Below are 20,613 nucleotides of genomic sequence, written 5' to 3' on the forward strand. Positions count from 1 at the left end.
GTGGTGGGATCTCGGTTCACTGCATCCTCCACCCCGCCAGGTTCAAGTGATTCTCCTGCCTTAGCCTCCTGAGTAGCTGGGATTACAGGCACCCACCACCATACCCAGCCAATTTTTTGTGTTTTTAGTACACATGGGGTTTCACCGTGTTGGCCAGGATGGTCTTGAACTTCAGACCTCAGGTGATCCGCCCACCTTGGCCTCCCAAAGTGCTGGGATTACAGGCATGAGCCACCGCACCCAGCCAGTTAATTTTTCTATTAACTAAGACCTAATTAAGATTGAGGCAGAAGAAATGGGTCCTTGGGATTTGAAAAGTAGTATTCAATTTGGAAGTTTAATTTGCAACATAGATTGTTTGTTATTAAATTACTAGATATAGTATCACAAAGGCGGAAAGAAAGGTTGCTTAGTTAAAGATCTAAGTTACTAGTCATGGTGTCAGATATAGAGAATGATTGAAGGTTATTAGAGTCACACACCAGATGAGTAAATTGTTGTTTTCAAGGAAGAGGTTACATAAAGGTAAGCGGAGTAATATTTTAGCATTTTTGTTAATTAAAAATTTGTAAAGTTATTTCCATTTCAAGGAAATTACTCTCAGTAATTTTACGGGTAAAATGACAAATTCCAAGTTTAATTTTCACACGTAACACCCTCCTTGAGCACTTATTTTTATAAAGCTATTAGTCTATTTTGGTCTCAATTTACCTTTCTTTAAAGAGATGTTAAAATTTTCTGAAAGAAGTTGAGATCTGGAAGTGTAGCTGTGCTATTTTTCAATTTTTAATTACATATTTAATTATCCTTTAATTACTTAAGGTTATTCTCAAAAGTGAAGAGATAGCTGGGATCACACTGCATAAGATTTTACTCCTGAATGTAATATTCAAAAATGTTACAAAGTCTATCAAAGAGGTTTTCATTCTGCGACAATAGATGGTCAATTTGACATGGTCAGGAAGCACCACCCCCACTGAGAGATACCAAATTATGGAGTAAACCACCATAATTTAGGCAGATCTTGAGAGAGAAAATGCTGAGTGGATGGAGAGGCCTGAAGCAATGAAGCTGAGCTGAAGAGGGAGGAAGCCTGTGCAGGGAACCCAAACACTACAGCTAGTTCCCCAGAATGGCTCCTAGGAAAGGGCCTCTGCCTGAGAGAGACCTGTGGCCTAGAACACCTAACACAAGAAACACAGTGATTGCAGGAGACTCCCCCAGGGCCCAGGAGCAGATCTGGTGATGGAGGCATCTCTCCCACCCCCACTATAGAGCACACCTGCAAACAAAAGGAAGTATAAAACAGCCAAGCCACTGGGTATTAGGCTAGCCACTGGCCATCACTCTTAAGCACCATGCATTGGATCACATCCCAAACTACAACATCAAAATTTATCCTGCTACATATACACCTGTGAAACCAAACACAAGAATTACTCATACATAAAAATCCTGGACAGAGACAGCCCTGACCCTTTGAAAGCATCCAGAAACAAAACCAATTGCCTATACTCAACATACACTACAGTTAAAGGAACACTAACCCTACCAGAAGAGAAAAAATCAGTGCAAGAACTCTGGCAATTCAAAAAGCTAGAGTGTCCTCTTACCTCAAAATTAGCCCACTAGCTACCAAGCAATGGTTCTTAATCAGTCTAAAATAATTGCAACAGACATAGAATACAGAACCTCGATGGCAGGGAAGCTCATGAACATTAAGGAGAAAGTTGAAACCCAATCCAAGTAATCCAGTAAAGCAATCTAAGTAAGTGCTGAAAGATGAAACTGCCATTTTAAAAAACAGCCACACTGAATTTCTAGAGCAGAAAAAATTCAGTATAAGAATTTTATAATACAATAAGAAATATTAACAGAAGGTAGGCCAAGCTAAGGAAAGAATCTCAGAGCTCAAAGACTGGTTCGTTCAATCAACTGAGTCAAAAGAAAATTTTAAAAAAGAATTAAAAAAAGAAAATGAACCAAAGCTTTAAGAAATATGGAATTATATAAAGAGACCAAATCTACGACTCATTGTCATTCCTAGAAGAGAAAGAAAGAGAAAAGGCAACTTGGAAAATAGATTTGAGAATAGAGTCTATGAAAATTTTCCTAACCTCGCTAGAGAGAGTGACATGTAAATCCAAAAAATACAGCAAACCCAGCTAGGTACTATAAAAGGTGACTATCCCTAAGGTACATAGTCATCATATTCACCAAAGTAAATACAAAAGAAAAAAAAATCTTAAAGGCAGCTAGAGAGAAAGGTCATGTTTTCATACAGCAAGAACTCCACTAGGCTAGTAGTAAATATCTCAGCAAAAACCTTACAAGCCAGAAGAGATTAAGAGCCTATGTCCAACATCATTAATGAAAATAAATTCCAGGCAAGAATTTCATATTTCACTAAACTAAACTTCCTAAGTGAAGAAGAAACAAATTTCTTCTCAGATAAGCAAATACTGAGGGAGTCAATTTCAACTTGACCAGCCTTATGAAAGGTCCTTAAGGGAGTGCTATACATTGAGTAAAAAGAATGACACCTGCTACCACAAAAACCCACTTAAGTACATAGCTCACAGGCACTATAAAGTATCTACACAATCAAGTCTACCTAAAAACCAGCTACAAACGTGATGATAGGATCAAAATCTCATGTATCAACATTAACCATAAATGTAAATAGGCTAAACACCCCACTTAAATGACGTACAATGGCAAACTGGATAAAAATGCAAGGCTCACCATCTGTAGTCTTCAAGAGACTCATCTCATATGTAATGACAGCCACTGGCCCAAAATAAGGGGACGGAGAAAATCTGCCATGCAAATGATAACAAAAAAGCAGGAGTAACTATTCTTATATCAGATAAAACAGACTTTAATCAAAATTAAAAAGAACAATTGAAGAATGAAGAGCATTACGTCATGAGAAAGTATATGATCAAACAAGAATACTTAAGTACCCTAAATATAAATGCACCCAACATGGAGCACCCAGATTCATAAAACAAGTTCTTTTTGGACTACAAAAAGACAGACGACCACCCAATAATTGTAGGAGACTTCAACACCCCCGCTGGCAGCATTGGATCATCAAAGCAGATAACTAAGAAAGAAACTGTGTACTTAAACTTCACACTTGACCATTTGGACCTAATAAGACATCTACAGAACACTCCACTCAATAACCACAGAATATACATTCTTCTCATCTGCACAGGGAACATATTCTAACATTGACCACATGCTTGGTCATAAAGCAAGTCTGGATAAATTTTAAAAAATGAAATCATATCAAGCACACTCTTAGATCTCAATGTAATCAAAATATAAATAAATATCAACATCTCTCAACACTACACAAATAGATGAAAAGAAAATCAAACAACTTTCTCCTGAATAACTTCTGTGTGAAAATCAAAATTAAGGGAGAAATTTTAAGAAAGTGAAATTAATGAAAATGGGAACACAAATTACCAAAATCTCTGGGATGCAGCTAAATCAGTGTTAAGAGGAACGTTTAAATGCCTTTATCATAAAGTTAGAAATATTTCAAATTAACAATCTAACACTACACCTAAAGGAACTAGGGAAAAAAAAAAAGAACAACCCTACATCAACGCTAGGAATGAAAAGAAACAACTAAAATAGAGAAGATCTGAATGAAATTGAGATGCAAAAATCCTACAAAAGATTAATGAAACCCAGAGTTGATTTAAAAAAAGAGATTGATAGACCTTTAGCTAGATAAACAAAGAAAAAAAAGAGAAGATCTAAATATATAAATCAGAATGACAAAAACGACATTAAAAATGGTCCCACAGACATACAAAATAATCCTCAGAGAATACTAGGAATAACTCTAGACACAAAAATTAGAAAATCTAGAGGAAATGGATAAATTTCTGAAAACAGGCAATCTTCCAAGATTGAATCAGGAAGATACTGAAATACTGAAGAGACCAATATGAAGCTCTGAAATTGAATAAGTAATAAAAAATCTACCAAGCCAAAAAGCCCTGGACTATATGGATTCACAGCAAAATTCTACCGGAAGTATAAAGAAGAACTACTACAATTCTACTGAAACTATTCCAGAAAAGTTGAAGAGAACGTACTCCTTCCTAACTCATGCTGTGAAGCCAGAATCAGCTTAATACCAAAACCTGGCAGAGACGCAAAAAAAAAGAACATTCAGGTGACCACTGTTGACGAACATAGACTCAAAAATTCTCAACAAAGTACTAGCAAACTGAATCCATCAGCAGCGTATCAAAAAATTAATCTACTATGACAATACAGGCTTTATTCCTGGGATGCATGGCTGGTTCAACATATGCAAATCAATAAATGTGATTCACCAGATAAACAGAATTAAATCAAAAACCATATGATCATCTCAATGGATGCCGGAAAAGCTTTCAATTAAATCCAGTGCCCCTTCATGAAAAAACAAAACAAAAAAAAAACCCTCAACAGTTGAGGCTTCAAATAAGCATACTTCAAAATAAAAAAGAGCTATCTACAACAAACCCACAGCCAATATAATACTCAATGGGCAAAAGCTGAAAGCATTCTCCTCTAGAAATGAAACAAGCCAAGGACATCCACTCTTACCACTCCTATTCAACATAGTACCAGAAATCCTAGTCAGAGCAATCTCGCAACAGAAAAAGAGAAAAGCACCCAAATAGGAAGTAAAGATTAAGGCAAACTATCTGTCTTCACCCAACAATATCATTCTATACCTAAAAAACCTTAAAGACTTCAACAAAAGTCTACTAGAAATGATAAAGGATTTTAGCAAGGTTTCAGGATACAAAATCAATGTACAACAATTAGTAGCATTTCTATACAACAACAACATCCAGGTTGAGAGTTAAATTAAGAACACAATCATATTTACAACACCTAGGATGAAAATAAAATCCCTGCAAATACAACTAACCTAAGATGTGAACGATCTCCACAAGGAGAATTACAAAACACAGCTGAAATCTGAAGCTGGATGCAGTGGTTCATGCCTTTGGGAGGCCGAGGCAGGTATATCGCTTGGACCCAGGAGTTTGAGACCAACCTGGGCAACATAGTGGAACCTCATCTATACAAATTTTTTTTTTTTTTTAAATAGCGAGGCATGGTGGCACATGCCTGTAGTCCTAACTACCCTGACGGCTTGAGGCCAGGAGTTCAAGCCTGCAGTGAGCTATAGTAACTCCACTGCATTCCAGCCTGGGTGAAAGGGTGAGGCCCTGTCTCAAAAAAGGAAGGAAATAAGAAAAGGAAGGAAGGATGGACGGAAGGGAGGAAGGGAGGGAGGGAAGGAAGGAAGGAAGGAAGGAAGGAAGGAAGGAAGGAAGGAAGGAAGGAAGGAAATTTTGATAACACAAATAAATGGAATAACATTCCATGTTTACAGATTAAAAGAATCAATATTGTTAAAATGGCCATACTGCCCAAAGCAATTTGTAGATTCAAGGCTATCTCCATGAAACTACCAATATCTTTCTTCACAGAATTAGAAAAAAACTACTCTAAATTTATATGGAACACCCCCAAAAGCCAGAATGGCCAAAGCAATTCTGAGCAAAAATAATAAAGCCAGAGAGGCATCATACTACCCAATTTCCAGCTATACTATAAGTGTACACTAACCATGATACTGTTACAAAAGCAGACACTTAAGCCAATGGAACAGAATAGAACACTCAAAAACAAAGCTGCACACTTACCACCATCTGGATCGTGGACAAGGCCAACAAAAACAAACAATGGGGAAAAGGCACCCTATTCAATAAATGGTGCTGGGATAATTCGCTAGCCATAAGCAGAAGAGTGAAACTGGATGCTTACCTTCCACCATACACATAAATTAATTCAAGATGGATTAAAGGTTAAAATGTAAGACTTCAAATTATGAAAACTCTAAAACAAAACCTAGGAAATATTTTTCTCGACATTGGCCTTGGCAAATAATTTTTGGCTAAGTTTCTAAAAACAATTGCAACAAAAACGAAATTGACAAGTGAAAGTCAATCAAACTAAAAAGCTTCTGCACAGCAATAGAAACTATCCACAGAGTAAACAGACAACTTACAGAATGGGAGAAAATATTTGCAAACTATGCATCTGATAACGATCTAATATAACAAATCCATAAGGAAGAAAAAATGACAAGCATAAAACAACCCCAGTTAAAAAGGGCAAAGCTAATACAGGAGCAGAAAATCAAACTCCGCATCTTCTCACTTATAAGTGGGAGCTGAACAATGGGAACACATGGACACAGGGAGGGGAACAACACACAATGGGGAACAACACACAACACACACTATAATTTTCTGTAGGGGGTTGAGGAGAGGGAGAGCATCAGGAAAAATAGCTAATGCATGCTAGGCTTAATACCTAGGTGATGGGTTGACAGGTGCAGCAAACCACCACCACACACGTTTATCTATGTAACAAAACTGCGCTTCCTGCACATGTACCCCAGAACTTAAAATTTAAATCAAGAAAAGGCAAAGGACACGAACAGATATTTTCTCAAAAGAAGACACTCAAGTATATGAAAAAACACTCATCCTCACTAATCAGCAAATAAATAAATGCAAGCAAAAACCACAGTAAGATGCCATCTCACATCAGTCACAATAGCTATAATTAAAAAGTAAAAAAATTAGATGTTGGCCAGGCTGCAGAGTAAAGGGAATGCTTATACACTACTGTTGGTGGAAATGTAAACTGGTTCAGGTACTGTGGAAAGTATTTTGGAGATTTCTCTAAGAACTTAAAACAGAGATACCCTTCGACCCAGCATTCCCATTACTGGGTATATATTCAAAGGAAAATAAATTATTCTACCAGAAAAATATATATGCACTCGTATGTTCATCAGCATGTTATTCACAATAGCACAGACACGGAATGAACCTAGGTGCCCATCAACGGTGGACTGGATAAAGAAAATGTGGTACATATACACTATGGAATACTATGCCTCCATAAAAAAGAATGAAATTATGTCCTTTGCAGCAACATGGATGGAGCTAAGGACATAATCCTAAGCAAATTAGTGCTGGAAAAGAAAACCAGATACCACACATTCTCACTTATAAGTGGAACCTAAACATTGAGCACACAGGAACATTAACATGGGAACAAGACATGCTGCAGGCTATGGGGGTGGGGGAGAGAGGGGAGCATGGGCTGAATAACTACCTACTGGGTACTATGCTCACTACCAGGGTGCACTGTACAAAAGTAACAAATCTGCATATGCACTATCTGTGTCTGAAAAAAACTGAAATTATAAAAACCAAGAGAATATGTTTCTAATGAAGGTAGACTTTATTTGATGGACTGGATTAGAATATAATATTTTTTAAGGGGGAAGGCATTGGGGGATGCACAATGTCTACAGGTTTCTAAATCTCTCTGGTTTCTCACCTAATTCATAGTCTCTTATGTCATTTTCATAGTTTTCATATTCTGCCTTTCCACCTCTTCTTTTTAACAAGTAAAATTCCTCATAGCATACAAAAAACCAATTTTATAAAAAACCCATATTATCGATCAGGGACCTGTGGATTATGTGCTATTAGAACCATACAAAATGTCTCTATATAGTTTTCTGTATCTTTGGAATATCTTTGGGTGAAGCTGCAGACCTTCTTGGTGAGTGTTACAGCTCTGCGCAGAGCCAAACAGTGAGCAGCAGCAAGATTGCAAAGAGCAAAAGAACAAAGCCTCCACACTGTGGAAAGGGACCCTAGCACGTTGCTGTTGCTGGCTCTGGCAGCCGCTTTTCTTCCCTTATCTCACCCCACCCACATCCTGATGATTGGTCCATTTCATAGAGAGCTGATGGGTTCATTTTACAGAGAGCTGCTTGGTCTGTTTACAATCCTTTAGCTAGACACAAAAGTTCTCCAAGTCCCCACCAGATTAGCTAGACACAGAGCACTGATTAGTGCGTTCACATACCTTGAGCTAGACACAGCATGCTGATTGGTGCATTTACAATCCTCCAGCTAGACGTAGTAAGTTCTCCAAGTACCCACCGGACTCAGGAGCCCAGCTGGCTTTGCCTAGTGCATCCCGGCCGCGGGCGGAGCTGCCCGCCAGTCTCTGGCGCGCTGCCGCACTCCTCAGCCGTTGGGCGGTTGACGGGACCGGATGCCGCGTAGCAGGAGGTGGCGCCCGTCCCCTCGGGGTGGCGCGCGGGAGCCCGCGGTTGGGGGGCGGGGGGCAGGGGACGGGGGCGGGGAGCAGGGTGAGGGCTCCAGCATGGCAGGCTGCAGGTTCCGAGCCCTGCCCCCTTGCCCCGCGGGGAGGTGGCTGAGGCCCAGCGAAAATTCGAGCGCGGCGCCGGCGGGCCATCACTGTTGGAGGACCCAGTGCACCCTCCGCAGCTGCTGGCCCGGGTGCTAAGCCTCTCACTGCCCAGGGCCGGCGGCGCCAGCCGACCGCTCAGAGTGCGGGGCGCGCCGAGCCCGCGCCCACCCGGAAGTCGCGCTGGACCTGCGAGCACCGCAGGCAGCCCAGGTTCCGGCCCGCGCCTCTCCCTCCACACCTCCCCGCCAGCAGAGGGAGCCCGCTCAGGCCTCAGCCAGCACAGAGAGGGGCTCCCACGGTGCAGCTGCGGGCTGAAAGGCTCCTCAAGCGCGGTCAGAGTGGGCTGAGGCCGAAGAGGCGCCGAGAGCCAGCGAGGGATGCCAGCAAGCTGTCACCTCTCAGAAATACAGGAAGAACATCAATAATGTTCGAAGTTATAAAGTAGGTTTCTATCAAGAATAAAACATAAACGATCAAAGAATTCCTTATAAAAACATTTTTTATTTCTAGGAATCAAAACATAAATATAAAATTTGAGAGTCCACCAAAAAAAATTAGATGCCAGATTTCACTATAATTATCAGGGAAGCGCCCAAACGGGTTGTTTACGGCGCCTCGGGGAAACTTTCTGTTTCGTGTTAAGGGTCTTGAACCATGATGTTTAGAAAACCATGGGCTGATGCTTTCAGAACCTCTGTGATTGTTGCCTCTGACACTGCATCCAATAGACTAGCATGTTGATTAGGGAAAGCTAAATTCAATAAAATACGACTGTAAGTGGGGTCACCACCTTGAGGGGTTATGTTAGAAAAGTAGATGATAAGGTGGTATTGATAGAGTATTGAAGTCTGGGCTCAAATGGTTGCCCGGGGCCTTTCAAGACCAATGACTGACAAGAATAGGTAATGTTCAGGACATAGAGTTTAGGATTGGGGGACACTGTGAGTTAAGGGCCATGACAGAAGTCTTCATAAGTAAACTGTTACTGGCACAAGCTGCTACCTGCCCAGGTGAGCAATCTGTTGGCCCAGAGGAGAGTTGCTTACTGACATAAATTGATTTGCAGAAATTTCCTGAAGCAAACAATAAGTTATTTATAGGTTTGCAGCCTTACTTTCCTGGAAAAATACTTTTCTGGAATGAATTGTGAAATCATGTTGACACAGATGGCCTCAGGTTTCAGTTCGGATAATTAAGCTGTGTAAATATAGAAAGTCTAAGGTTTCTGTGTGCTGTTGATTCACAGTATGCAACAATGATCATATTACTTTTATTTACTATGAGCTTCAGCTGAAAGTCCAAAAGAAACTTTAATTTCAGATATTTAATGAAATCATTATAGCTGTGGTAATTTCCTTTAGCTGGGTGTGAGTGTGTGATGTGAGCGTGTGATGTGTGTGTGTGTGTGTGTACTCTGGCAGCATATTCCAAATAATTTCTGTAAAATTTCAGTTTGAAATTAATAGAAGACATATTAAGTTGTTTAAACTCTTTGTTATTTAAATTCTATATTACTTTAGTTGATTACTCTGTATTATTACGGCAAAGCTTTGATATGTTGCCCTGAATTTAAATGAAAAGGCTGTTCGGCATAAAAACAGGAATATTTTATTACCAAAAAGAATTAACTACCATATGTCATTTACAGAAAAGAGTAAATTCTTCAGGGCATAGAAAATACACATTTCCTTCTGTTTGTGTGGAAATAAGCAAAATACCTGTTATAATAGATTCCTCACAGAATTTTGTGAAGCTTCAGGTAAACTTGAAAGAGAAAAATTAAAATTCTAGAGTTTCATAATTACAAATTGGGATATAAAAATAGAATAATTATTTGAATTTTGTATTTCTCTCCAGGGGATCAAAAGTAATATATAAACTTTTAATAAATATTGATATAGCTTCACGTTGACTCCATATGTGAGCAATTTGCTTTCTGTTAAATTCACAATTGCATAATTTTTTTCAGGCTGGAATGCACTTGGATGCCAGAGATTTTGATTTCTTAATGTGAAATAAGGTGATAATACATTCCAAAGTATATATTTTTTCAACTTTGAATATATCTGGTGTATTTGGAGTAATATCTGAGTAAATACACTTATATGTAAGAGAATCAAAGGAACAAGATATTATTTTATATCCAAGGAAATTAAAACACTTAGAACATAAATACGTATTGCATTACTTCATATTAAAGAAATGTTTTACAAAAGAAAATAAAAGAGCTTATTTTATAGCCCCATTTCCACAAATAATAGCAAAGGTACATATATCTGATGTTTTACACACTCATTATTGTTTCTCTTAAAATTTGTTGCTTATACTATTTTAAAAAGCAAGCCTATAGATTGTTGTGTGTATATACATATACACACAACATATATATATGTGTATATATATATATATATATATATATAGCAGCAAGCAAGAGAATGGGCCTCTTCCTACTGAGGTTTAACATTTGCATGCATATGTATATTTTGATTCACATAGACTTATTGTTCTTTAATTACGTGAACAGTGATTCCTGGTTACATTATTGGAAAATGGAAGCAATGCTCAAAGAGCATCACCTAAATTTCCATCATATTTTGCTCTCAATATATTTTGTACATCCAAATATATTGTGATTAATCTGCATACATTTTTGCTGTTCTAGGTGACGCTGATATGAGGCTAGGTAATACACGACCTTAGTCTGCATGTTGTACTTGTGTAACACACATAATTTTACAGTGCTAACAGGTGCTATAATAACTAACTATAGTTAATGATGAATGAAAGAAGGAAGATGTTAAGATGTTAGGGAAGGACTCAAAAGATGCAGTGCTTGAGTTAGAATTTTAAGGGAGATTATGCAAAAGCAGTCACTTAAGGTGGGTTGGGATAATCTAGAATGTGGGAATGATGTATGCAAAGTCACACAGGAGAGATACAGCATGCATGTTTAGAAAATTGTTGATTACATATGGAAAGTTTGCAGGACTTGCATCCTAGAATGTCAGGATTTTAAGCTAAGTAGGGTTCAAATTAAATTTTTCACATACTTCGCTGCATTATAATAACTAGTTTATATTTAACTCATCCACTAAACTAAGTTATTTGAAAAGAGATGCCAGTGTTCACTCAATCTAGTTGTCTGTCATTAATAATTTAAAAATAATTGAGATTTTAATTTTGGTCTGCTAAGCCTGTTTAATTAAAATTTGACATTAAATAAGATTTTACAGGGCCTGTAATTTTTTTTTTCAGTCATCACAGTTTGAATATTAAACATTACTACTTTTATCTCCCTCAGTCAGCATAAAACATACTACTTATGGTTTTAATAATCAAATTCAATGAGCACCAACAAAATTTGATGTAACTATTAACTTTGAAATTTTATTGAAATAGAACTATGCCTTGGGTATCATTCAAAGCATTTAATTGTTGCAATAAAAAACTTTGAGATAAATTGAAATGATGGACAATATGGGTCGAAAGCAACATTGGCTTGAGGGAATAGGCTAATGTTTGAGAACGGAATTGTTAAGGACAAGATTGGATGTTTATATTATTTTAGGAAAGATACACTCTAATGGAGTTTAATTCTAAAATGTTTAATATTATGAAAATATTATATATTATATGATCATTATAGAAAATTAAATATATAAGAACATCAGAAGCAAAATAGTCAAAGTCTACCTAAACCCAATTAGAAGTGAATACTATTAATCTTGATTTGCATGTTTCTAATCTTATTATTATCAAATTAATAAACAGCTTTCAGATATTCTGCTTCTCCCTGTTACTAGATCAGGATAATGTCATTTATGTACAGGCATCTCCTGCTTACTCAGTTCAGCATTGATCAATAAATATTTTAGACTTCCATTCAAAACACTTCCATTTTTCTTTTGCCCATATTCTTTTTATTCAGTGCTACCTATTTTCAAATACACAACACTTTGTCAAACAAATTCCAACATTAGATTGGATCTAGTTGGTATCAAAGTAGTAATACACATTGCCATTCCTAATCCTCAATGCATTGATCCTGAAAATTATTTGTAAGAATAGAAAAATACTGGATATTTCAAAATAAGTCTCATTTTGTTGCTTACACATGAAAGACTGGAATTAACCAACATAACCATTACAAGGTGATTGAGCAAATGAATAGATGGAAAATATTATAGAAACTTTACTGCAGTTCATCAACCATTGTGGTCGTTAGGCCATAGGAAAATACAGTGTGATAGTACCCTTGTCTTCTTTTCCATTTGTTAAGTCTCATATCCAAATAACAGTGGATAGACCTTATGAGAATACAAAGTGAGATAAAAATAATTTTTGGCTTTTCAATGTATCTTATTTGATCTAAGAGGTATTTCCCCGACTTTGATGCAATAATTATTGTCACAAAATTTGACTTTATTAAAGACCATTTTAAGGATCTTTGCAGCTGACAGCAGTGACTTTTTTACCTCCTACAAAGTTTCAACTGACAGTCTTATTGTCTCTGACTTTCCCAAATTAATGACATAATTAGTCACCAGGGCTTTGGCTGCTCAATAGGGATTTAGTAAGCAATGAGTCATATGTTGGGGAACACTTCAACAAACAAAATGTTGGCAGAGAAAGATGTATGAATCAGCTAGGAAGAAACACTATTCTATCATTGAGGATCTTTCTAATATTAGATATCACAGAAAAATTTTCATATAGATTACCATATAAGTGAGCCAAAATCTCTAGGAACAAAAAAGCTTTGTATAATTATAACTCCTTGCCATGATTTAACTTAAAATTTCTTTACTTATTTAGCAATTCTATAAACAAGAATCATTTCTGTTAAGGATACTAAGGAGACTGTTCCTATTGAATCAGAACATTTAAAAGAAATAATTGAGGAACTCACACATGTAAAACGTCATTAACCAAACTAAAATAAAATGTGAGGGCATAAACTTAACCAGAAATGTTTAAAACCTATATAAAAAAAAAACTAGAAAACACTTCTGAATGGCACAAATTTGGACTTGAGCACGGGGAAAGAAATTCCATGCTCTTGAAAAAGCCTTAAAATCATAAATGTGCCAGTTCTTTAAATAAACTTATATCTTCTGTGTCATAACAAACAATATTTTCTAGAATTTCTTTTTCCAGATTTAGAAAAATAGACAAATTTACTTGGAGGAATAAAGAAGCAAGAATAGCTAGAAATAGCCTATAAAATCAATGGAATTTGGAGTCAATACAAAATATTAAGCAATTCTTAAAGCTTCTATGATTAAAATGAGTTATAAATACAGATAGATGAAGATCATATAGAAAATCAAGACATTGACAGATATGGAAAGGTGGTATATAATGAAAACATTTCAGATCAATGAGGGGGAAATGTTAACTGGAAAAGAATATTAAAAAGGCAATGAACTCAATAAGACAACAAGAAGCAAACCACAGAAAAATAACTGGACTGGATTAAAAAGAAAATATTTTAGACACTTCAAAAATAAAATATTCAAATAACCAATGAACTTATTAAAAGGTTTTCATTTATATTGGTTATCTGAAAAAAAAATTCAAACCACAATGAGATGTAAGTACTTGTCATTCAGAATCCTGAATTTGAAAGGAATATTTTAGAATTCTAAGTTGAAGAGAAAATGCAAAGTTTTGATGAGAATGTTGACTAGTTAGAACACTCAAATTGATGTTATTGGCATAGCTTAGTTCAAATAATTTGGATAAAGATATGTATTAGGCCCCAAAATTCTACTTGTAAAGATGGTTTCTCCAGAAATGCATGCATATATATAGCTAAAAAAAAATGTGTACTCATGAAAACACTTTTCAGAATAACACCAAAATAACCCCAAACTGTGGGCCAAAAGTGGACTAAAATACTTATAAAGAGTACAGTAAACAAATAAGTTGTAATATGATCACCTAATAAAATATTAGAGAAATAAATGTAAATAGTTTCATTTGCAGGTCATATAATCAATTAGTCTCACAAATAAAATATTAAGCAAAAAAATGTGGTTCAAAACACTACACACACTATTTGATTCCTTACTGGTAAAAGTTAGAATAGTGTTATGTTAGGAGGGATGGGTGGAAATCAGGTGTGTGACTATTACATTTTCTTATTCTGGATGATCATAGTATTTTAAAACTCACTAAGCTTTAAACTTATGTGCATTTACCCATGTGTATACAATACTTTAATAGAAGCTTCAAATCAATGAGAAAACATAAAACTGTCTGATGGAAAAATAGCTTGAGGAAATGAACAGGTATAGCAGAAAAGAAGGGCTGCATATAGTTTAAAAACTTGAAGAGATGTTTAATCTCTTTGCAAATAGAAAAACTACGCATTTAAATTGAAATACCATTTTCATGTTCCAAAATTAAAATTATTAGAAATATGATGGTATACAGTGATGGTAATATGGGAGAAAGGAAACGTCCTAGGCAATTTGGATAAGCTTTTCTGAGAAAGATTTAGGCAATATGCCATTAAGATTTAATGTGAACAAATATGCCATTAAGATTTAATTTGCCCACATAAATTTCCCATTTGGAAATATTTGGAAAGATATTCTATTTTTCAAAATTTAATCTGGGCCGGGCGCGGTGCCTCACGCCTGTAATCCCAGCACTTTGGGAGGCCGAGGCGGGTGGATCATGAGGTCAGGAGATCGAGACCATCCTGGCTAACAAGGTGAAACCCCGTCTCTACTAAAAATACAAAAAAATTAGCCGGGCGCGGTGGCGGGCGCCTGTAGTCCCAGCTACTCGGGAGGCTGAGGCAGGAGAATGGCGTGAACCCGGGAAGCGGAGCTTGCAGTGAGCCGAGATTGCGCCACTGCAGTCCGCAGTCCGGCCTGGGCGACAGAGCGAGACTCCGTCTCAAAAAAAAAAAAAAAAAAAAAAAAAAAAAAAAAAATTTAATCTGAAAATACCTAAGCCCCTGATATTTTTCTAAAAACTGGAATGTCCCTGTGGTCATTGGGTTTTAGAGACATAATTTTCACTGTGATGGTCATAATTTTAAAAGGTTGCATCATCCATTTTTAGTTAACATATATTGTACTAACATCACATATCTATGTAATAGAAAAATAGAGTCAATTCATTTAGGGACAGACATGAAAATGACAAATACATATAGAGATAGAAAGGTATCTTGTGCATTATACTGAGAAAGACAATAGAAATAAACAATTTACATGGGTTGATTTATTTTGATTAAGATATATAAGTGGTTAGATAAATGTTAAATAGGTCAGTATGTAATTACAGAAAATGACAAATTGTTATGTATGGTACATTTGCAGGCATAACACAGACATTACATTTTGGAAAATTGTGTTCTATGCAACAGTGCCAAGTCTAATGAAAGTAAGAGGAAGAGGAATTCAGCCAAAGTACCAACCCCTGTTATCCATTCCTTAAGAAAGGAACTCCTTTATACACTCAAAAGAGGGGATTCTTTTTAAATCTGTTTCCAGAGGGGCATCTGCATACACATACACATACACACACACACACACACATTTACATTATATTTAAATGTGTGTGCATGATATATACATGTATTTATTTATTTAATATATATGTGTTATCCGGGTCCTATATAGGAACACACACACACACACATTTTGAATCAAACACTCTTTCGTATAATTTTGGTGACAAATGTATGCAATAAATGAGAATACTTTAACTTTCCAAAAAGCTATTCAAAAGTATAATTTTCAAATAAAATATATGTTTGTATGACAACAAATGATTTTTTATAAATAATATATTCTGCATTATCAATCTGCCACTGGTTTTTATTAAATAAAAAAACCCGTAAGTTTGTATGCTCTTAAAATACATATAACATTTGTAAGAATAGTTTTTATGTAAAAATAATTATAGTTCACTATAACTATGTTAAAAATAGACATAGCCAGGCAAGTCGCTCATGCCTGTAACCCAGCACTTTGGTAGGCTGAGGCGGGCAGATCACTTGAGGCCAGGAGTTCAAGACCAGTCTGGCCAACATAGCGAAACCCCATCTCTAATAAAAATACAAAAATTAGCCGGGCATGGTGGCCCATACCTTGTAATCCCAGCTACTCAGGAAGCTGTGGCAGGAAGATTGCTGGAACCCGGGAGGCGGAGTCTGCAGTGAGACAAGATCATGCCACTGCACTCCAACCTGGGTAACAGAATGAGACTCTGTCTCAAAAAAAAAAAAAAGAAAAGAAAAGAAAAGAAAAAAATAGACACAGATGAAGGGTGTCTTTGATTATGCAAATAGATTACCCATCTTGTACTCACTGTGTTTATTTCAATAAATGATCCACAGAATATGCTACTTTTGATTTATAGTTTTCTTCTCCTTCACCGCTGTGGACTGGGAAAATATTTCTTATTATTTCTGCTGCAGAGTAGCAAAAAATTATGAGCCAGAAGGAAGACCACTACAACAAGCAAAATCTCTGAGTAATCATAAAATGAAGAACTATTTCCTGTTGGGATTCATTGTGACGAATTTGATTTTAAATTCTTGGTGTTGGCATTTTATTTTTAAAATTTAGCTTTCTTGCCTATTCTGAAATTGTCAAAAATTCAGAAAAACAATCATCATCATTTGCTTGCTGATCAATGGAGACCTAATGATTTTTAGGCTGTGAGACTACAGTAATAAATAAATAAATAAAAAAGTTGATACTTCCTTCTATCGAGGGAAATTGAGCATTTTTCTCATAGTCCTAAGTCACCAGATCAAGGGATATATGTAATACTTGAGTGTTGACATTTTATTAATTTTTATATTTAACTAGAGCTGTAAAGTTGAAACAAATGGGTCAATGCAATAGCCCATAAAATATTTTAAAAACACATAAAAGAAATATCACTAAAATTTAAACATAAAAAAAATACAAAAAAACCCTGAGCTATAGGAAGGGAAGTATCCTCTAAATGCCCAAGTTGAAGGTAGTCCTCTTAGAAAGGCACAGAAAGAAGCAGTGTTTGATGGGAACGTGATTTTTCAAGTATTTTGAATTTTCAAACTCACCACATTAACTGAGTAAAATGAAAAAAATATATAAACTTCCTCTGAGGCAGAAAAAACATTTGGCATTTTCAAGATAGAATTATAATAAAAATATCTCGCCCCAATAGAATACAAAGAAGCATCCTTAAGCAAATAGAAGGCATCTACGGAAATATCACACTGAAGTTTGAACTAATAAATTATTCATTTAAGATCCAGAAGAAGACAAAGTGTCCTCTTTCACTATTGTTCTCTCTACTGTATGGGAGGAATTAACCAGTGAGACAAATCAAATAAATAAGTAAAACATACACAGTTAAGAAATGAAAAATACAATTCTAAATTTTTAAACAACTCCATTACCTATACATAAACTTCTAGTGACTGTAAAAATCAGCTGCTGGAATAAACTAGTAATTTTAGCCACATCATAGAAAAAATAAGTCAACCCATTAACTTATTTCTATATATTTCCAATGAGTAATTAATGATAAAAATCAAATTCATGTAAAATACTAATAAAAATATGTATATATGATTTTAACAAATTACATGCAAGATCTCTCTAAATAGGAAACTAGCCAAAGTGTTGGGAGATGTAGGAAAGTTCTAAATAAATGGAGTCACATACAATAATTGATGGTTTTGATGTGTGTCCCTGCCCAAATCTGATATGATGTAATCTCCAATGTTAGAGGTGAGGCCTAGTGGGAGGTGATTGGATCATGGGGTGGATTTCTCATGAGTGGTTCAGCATCATCCCTCTTGATATTGTTCTCATAATAGCGAGTGAGTGAGTTTTCATGAGATCTGGTCATTTAAAAGTGTGTAGCACCTTCCCCTTTCACTCTCTTGCTGTTCTGGCCATATGACGTGCCTGTCCCCCTTTGCTTTCTGCCATGATTGTATGTTTCCTGAGTCTTCCCAGAAGCTAAGTAGATGCCAGCATCATCCTTCCTGTATAGCCTGCAGAACAGTGGGGCAATTAAACCTCTTTTCTTCATAAATTGTTGAATCTTCTGTATTTCTTTATAGCAATGCCAGAACAAACTAATACAATAATCATGGCTTGAAAGTTCAGTGAATTTTAGTGTGTAAAAGGTTTTGGTTTTTCCAAATTAATCATTCTAGAAATCCGCACCATAATCACAAAAGATATTTTTATATAAATTGACACACTGATTTAAAAATGTACATCAAGAGAGCAAAAACAAATTATAAAAAGCTGAAAAAAAAGCTGGAATACTCACACTTCCTAACACCATGCAATAACTTAAAGCTATAGTCATCAAGAGAATGTGTTATTAGTATATGTATAAACAATTAGAGTAATGGAATGGAATAGAGTTCACAAATAGATCCATGCTTATATGAATAATATAATATCAAAAATACTGCAGTTATTCAAAGGGGAAAGATAATTTTATTTAACAAAGTGTGCAGAACTACGAGATAAATGTGAAGAAAACAAACCTCAAGTCCTTCCTCACAACAAAAGCATGAATGAGTTCAAAATTAAATGAGTCCAAAATATATTATGGAACAATGTGTAAAAGTGAAAGCATAGGCTTCAAATATAAAGCACAGAAAATGTCTTAGTAAACTACATGAAAGCATTTCTTTTTATCCAAACCGTGGAGAAATTTCTTTTTATTCAGAAAGCAATAATTATATAATGATAAACTACAGAAATGTATAAATATATTTATACTTTAATGTTTATGTTTAATTCCGCAATTATATATACTATTTATTATGAATAAGAGCAAGAATATATAAATATAATGTACAACATAGAAACAAGAGAACTATAAGAACTAACAGATGCTACACAAAAATGATATAATAGCAAATAAGCAAATGAAAAATTTCTTAATATCGTTAGTAATAAAAAATAAAATGAGATAATTATACACATCTACTAGAAAAGCTACTATTTTAAAAATTGTGTTACCAATATTTGGCATAGATGTCAAGAAACCAGAATCTAGAGTTTGCATACATTGACGGTGGGAGTGTAACACAGTACAGCTACTTTGGATAACTAAATCTACCTTACATGTACCAATTCTACCCCTAGGCATTTATCCTAGGGGGGAGAAAAGCTTAAGTCTATAAAAAGGCTTGCACAAGTACCTTTATTCATTATTGTCAAAAACAGACACCATGCAACTGTCCACCAGGAGCGGCGTTCTCAAGTTCAGCACTGTTAGCTGTTGAAGTGGCTTAATTCTTTGTTGTGGGGAGCTACAAAACTCAACCATAAAAAAAGCAAATAATTTGATGCAAAAGTGGGCCAAAGACCTTAACAGACACTTCACCAAAGAAGATACGCAGATGGAAAATAACATATGAAAAGATGTTCTATATCTTATGTCATCAGGGAAATGCAAATTAAAACAATGTGAGACTACTACACACATATTAGAACTGTCCAATTTCAGAACACTGACAATACCAAAAGCTGTTAAGGATGTGGAAATACCAAATGCTGTCAAGTATGTGGAAATACAGGAAACTATGTTCATTACTGGTGGGAATGAAAAATGGTACAGCAATTTAGGAAGATATTTTGTTTGGCAATTTCTTACAAAACTAAACATCCTTTGTCTTAGTCTGTTTTGTGTTGCTATAAAGAAATACCGAAGGCTAGGTAATTTACCAAGATCAAGTTTATTTGCATTATGTTTCTGATGTCTGAAAAAGTTCAAGATTAGGTATCTTGTAAGAGCCTCCAGCTGCTTCCACTCATGGTAGAAGGCAAAGAGGAACTGGAATGTGCAGAGATTACACGGTGAGAAAGGAAGCAAGAGAGAGAAAGAGGATAAGGTGCCAGTTTCTTGTTTGACAATCAGCTCTCCTGGGAACTAAGAGTAAGAACTCACGCCTGAAGGAGGGCATTAATCTATTCATGAGGAATCTGCCACTGTCACTCAAATGCTGCCCATTTAGCCGACCTCTAACATTGGAATCAAATTTTAGCATGAGATTTGGTGGGTACAAACAGTATATTCAAACTATAGCACTTACCATATGGTTCTGCAATCGTGCTACTTGGTATTTACCCAAAGGAGCTAAAAACTTATGTCCACATAAAAAGCTGCAAAAGGATGTTTATAGCAGTTTTATTCATAATGACCAAAACTTGGAAGCAACCAAGATGTTCCTCAGTAGGTGAATGGATACATAAACTGAGGAATATCCAAACAATGGAATATTATATA

General features: G+C 35.8%; 1 protein-coding gene across 1 annotated transcript in view, besides 2 other annotated features; it reads right to left on the bottom strand.

Moving 5' to 3' along the window:
* C1QTNF3 (C1q and TNF related 3) overlaps positions 1–8,095 on the bottom strand; it is a 226,867-nt gene extending 218,772 nt beyond the window's left edge. The window contains exon 1 of the transcript NR_146599.1: positions 7,987–8,095. The gene's annotated coding sequence lies outside the window, so the exon portion shown is untranslated. The remainder of the gene's footprint in view (positions 1–7,986) is intronic.
* Positions 8,095–8,389: an enhancer, noted in NCBI's record as "tiled region #11513; K562 Activating DNase unmatched - State 12:CtcfO". NCBI's record gives its function as "activates a minimal TATA promoter and a strong SV40 promoter by Sharpr-MPRA in K562 cells {active_cell/tissue: K562}" and the evidence as "EXISTENCE:reporter gene assay evidence [ECO:0000049][PMID:27701403]".
* Positions 8,102–8,281: a silencer, noted in NCBI's record as "silent region_15965". NCBI's record gives its function as "represses an Ori minimal core promoter by ATAC-STARR-seq in GM12878 lymphoblastoid cells {active_cell/tissue: GM12878}" and the evidence as "EXISTENCE:reporter gene assay evidence [ECO:0000049][PMID:35858748]".

This window comes from Homo sapiens, chromosome 5 (genome assembly GCF_000001405.40).
Source record: "Homo sapiens chromosome 5, GRCh38.p14 Primary Assembly".
NCBI classification, from domain to species: domain Eukaryota; kingdom Metazoa; phylum Chordata; class Mammalia; order Primates; family Hominidae; genus Homo; species Homo sapiens.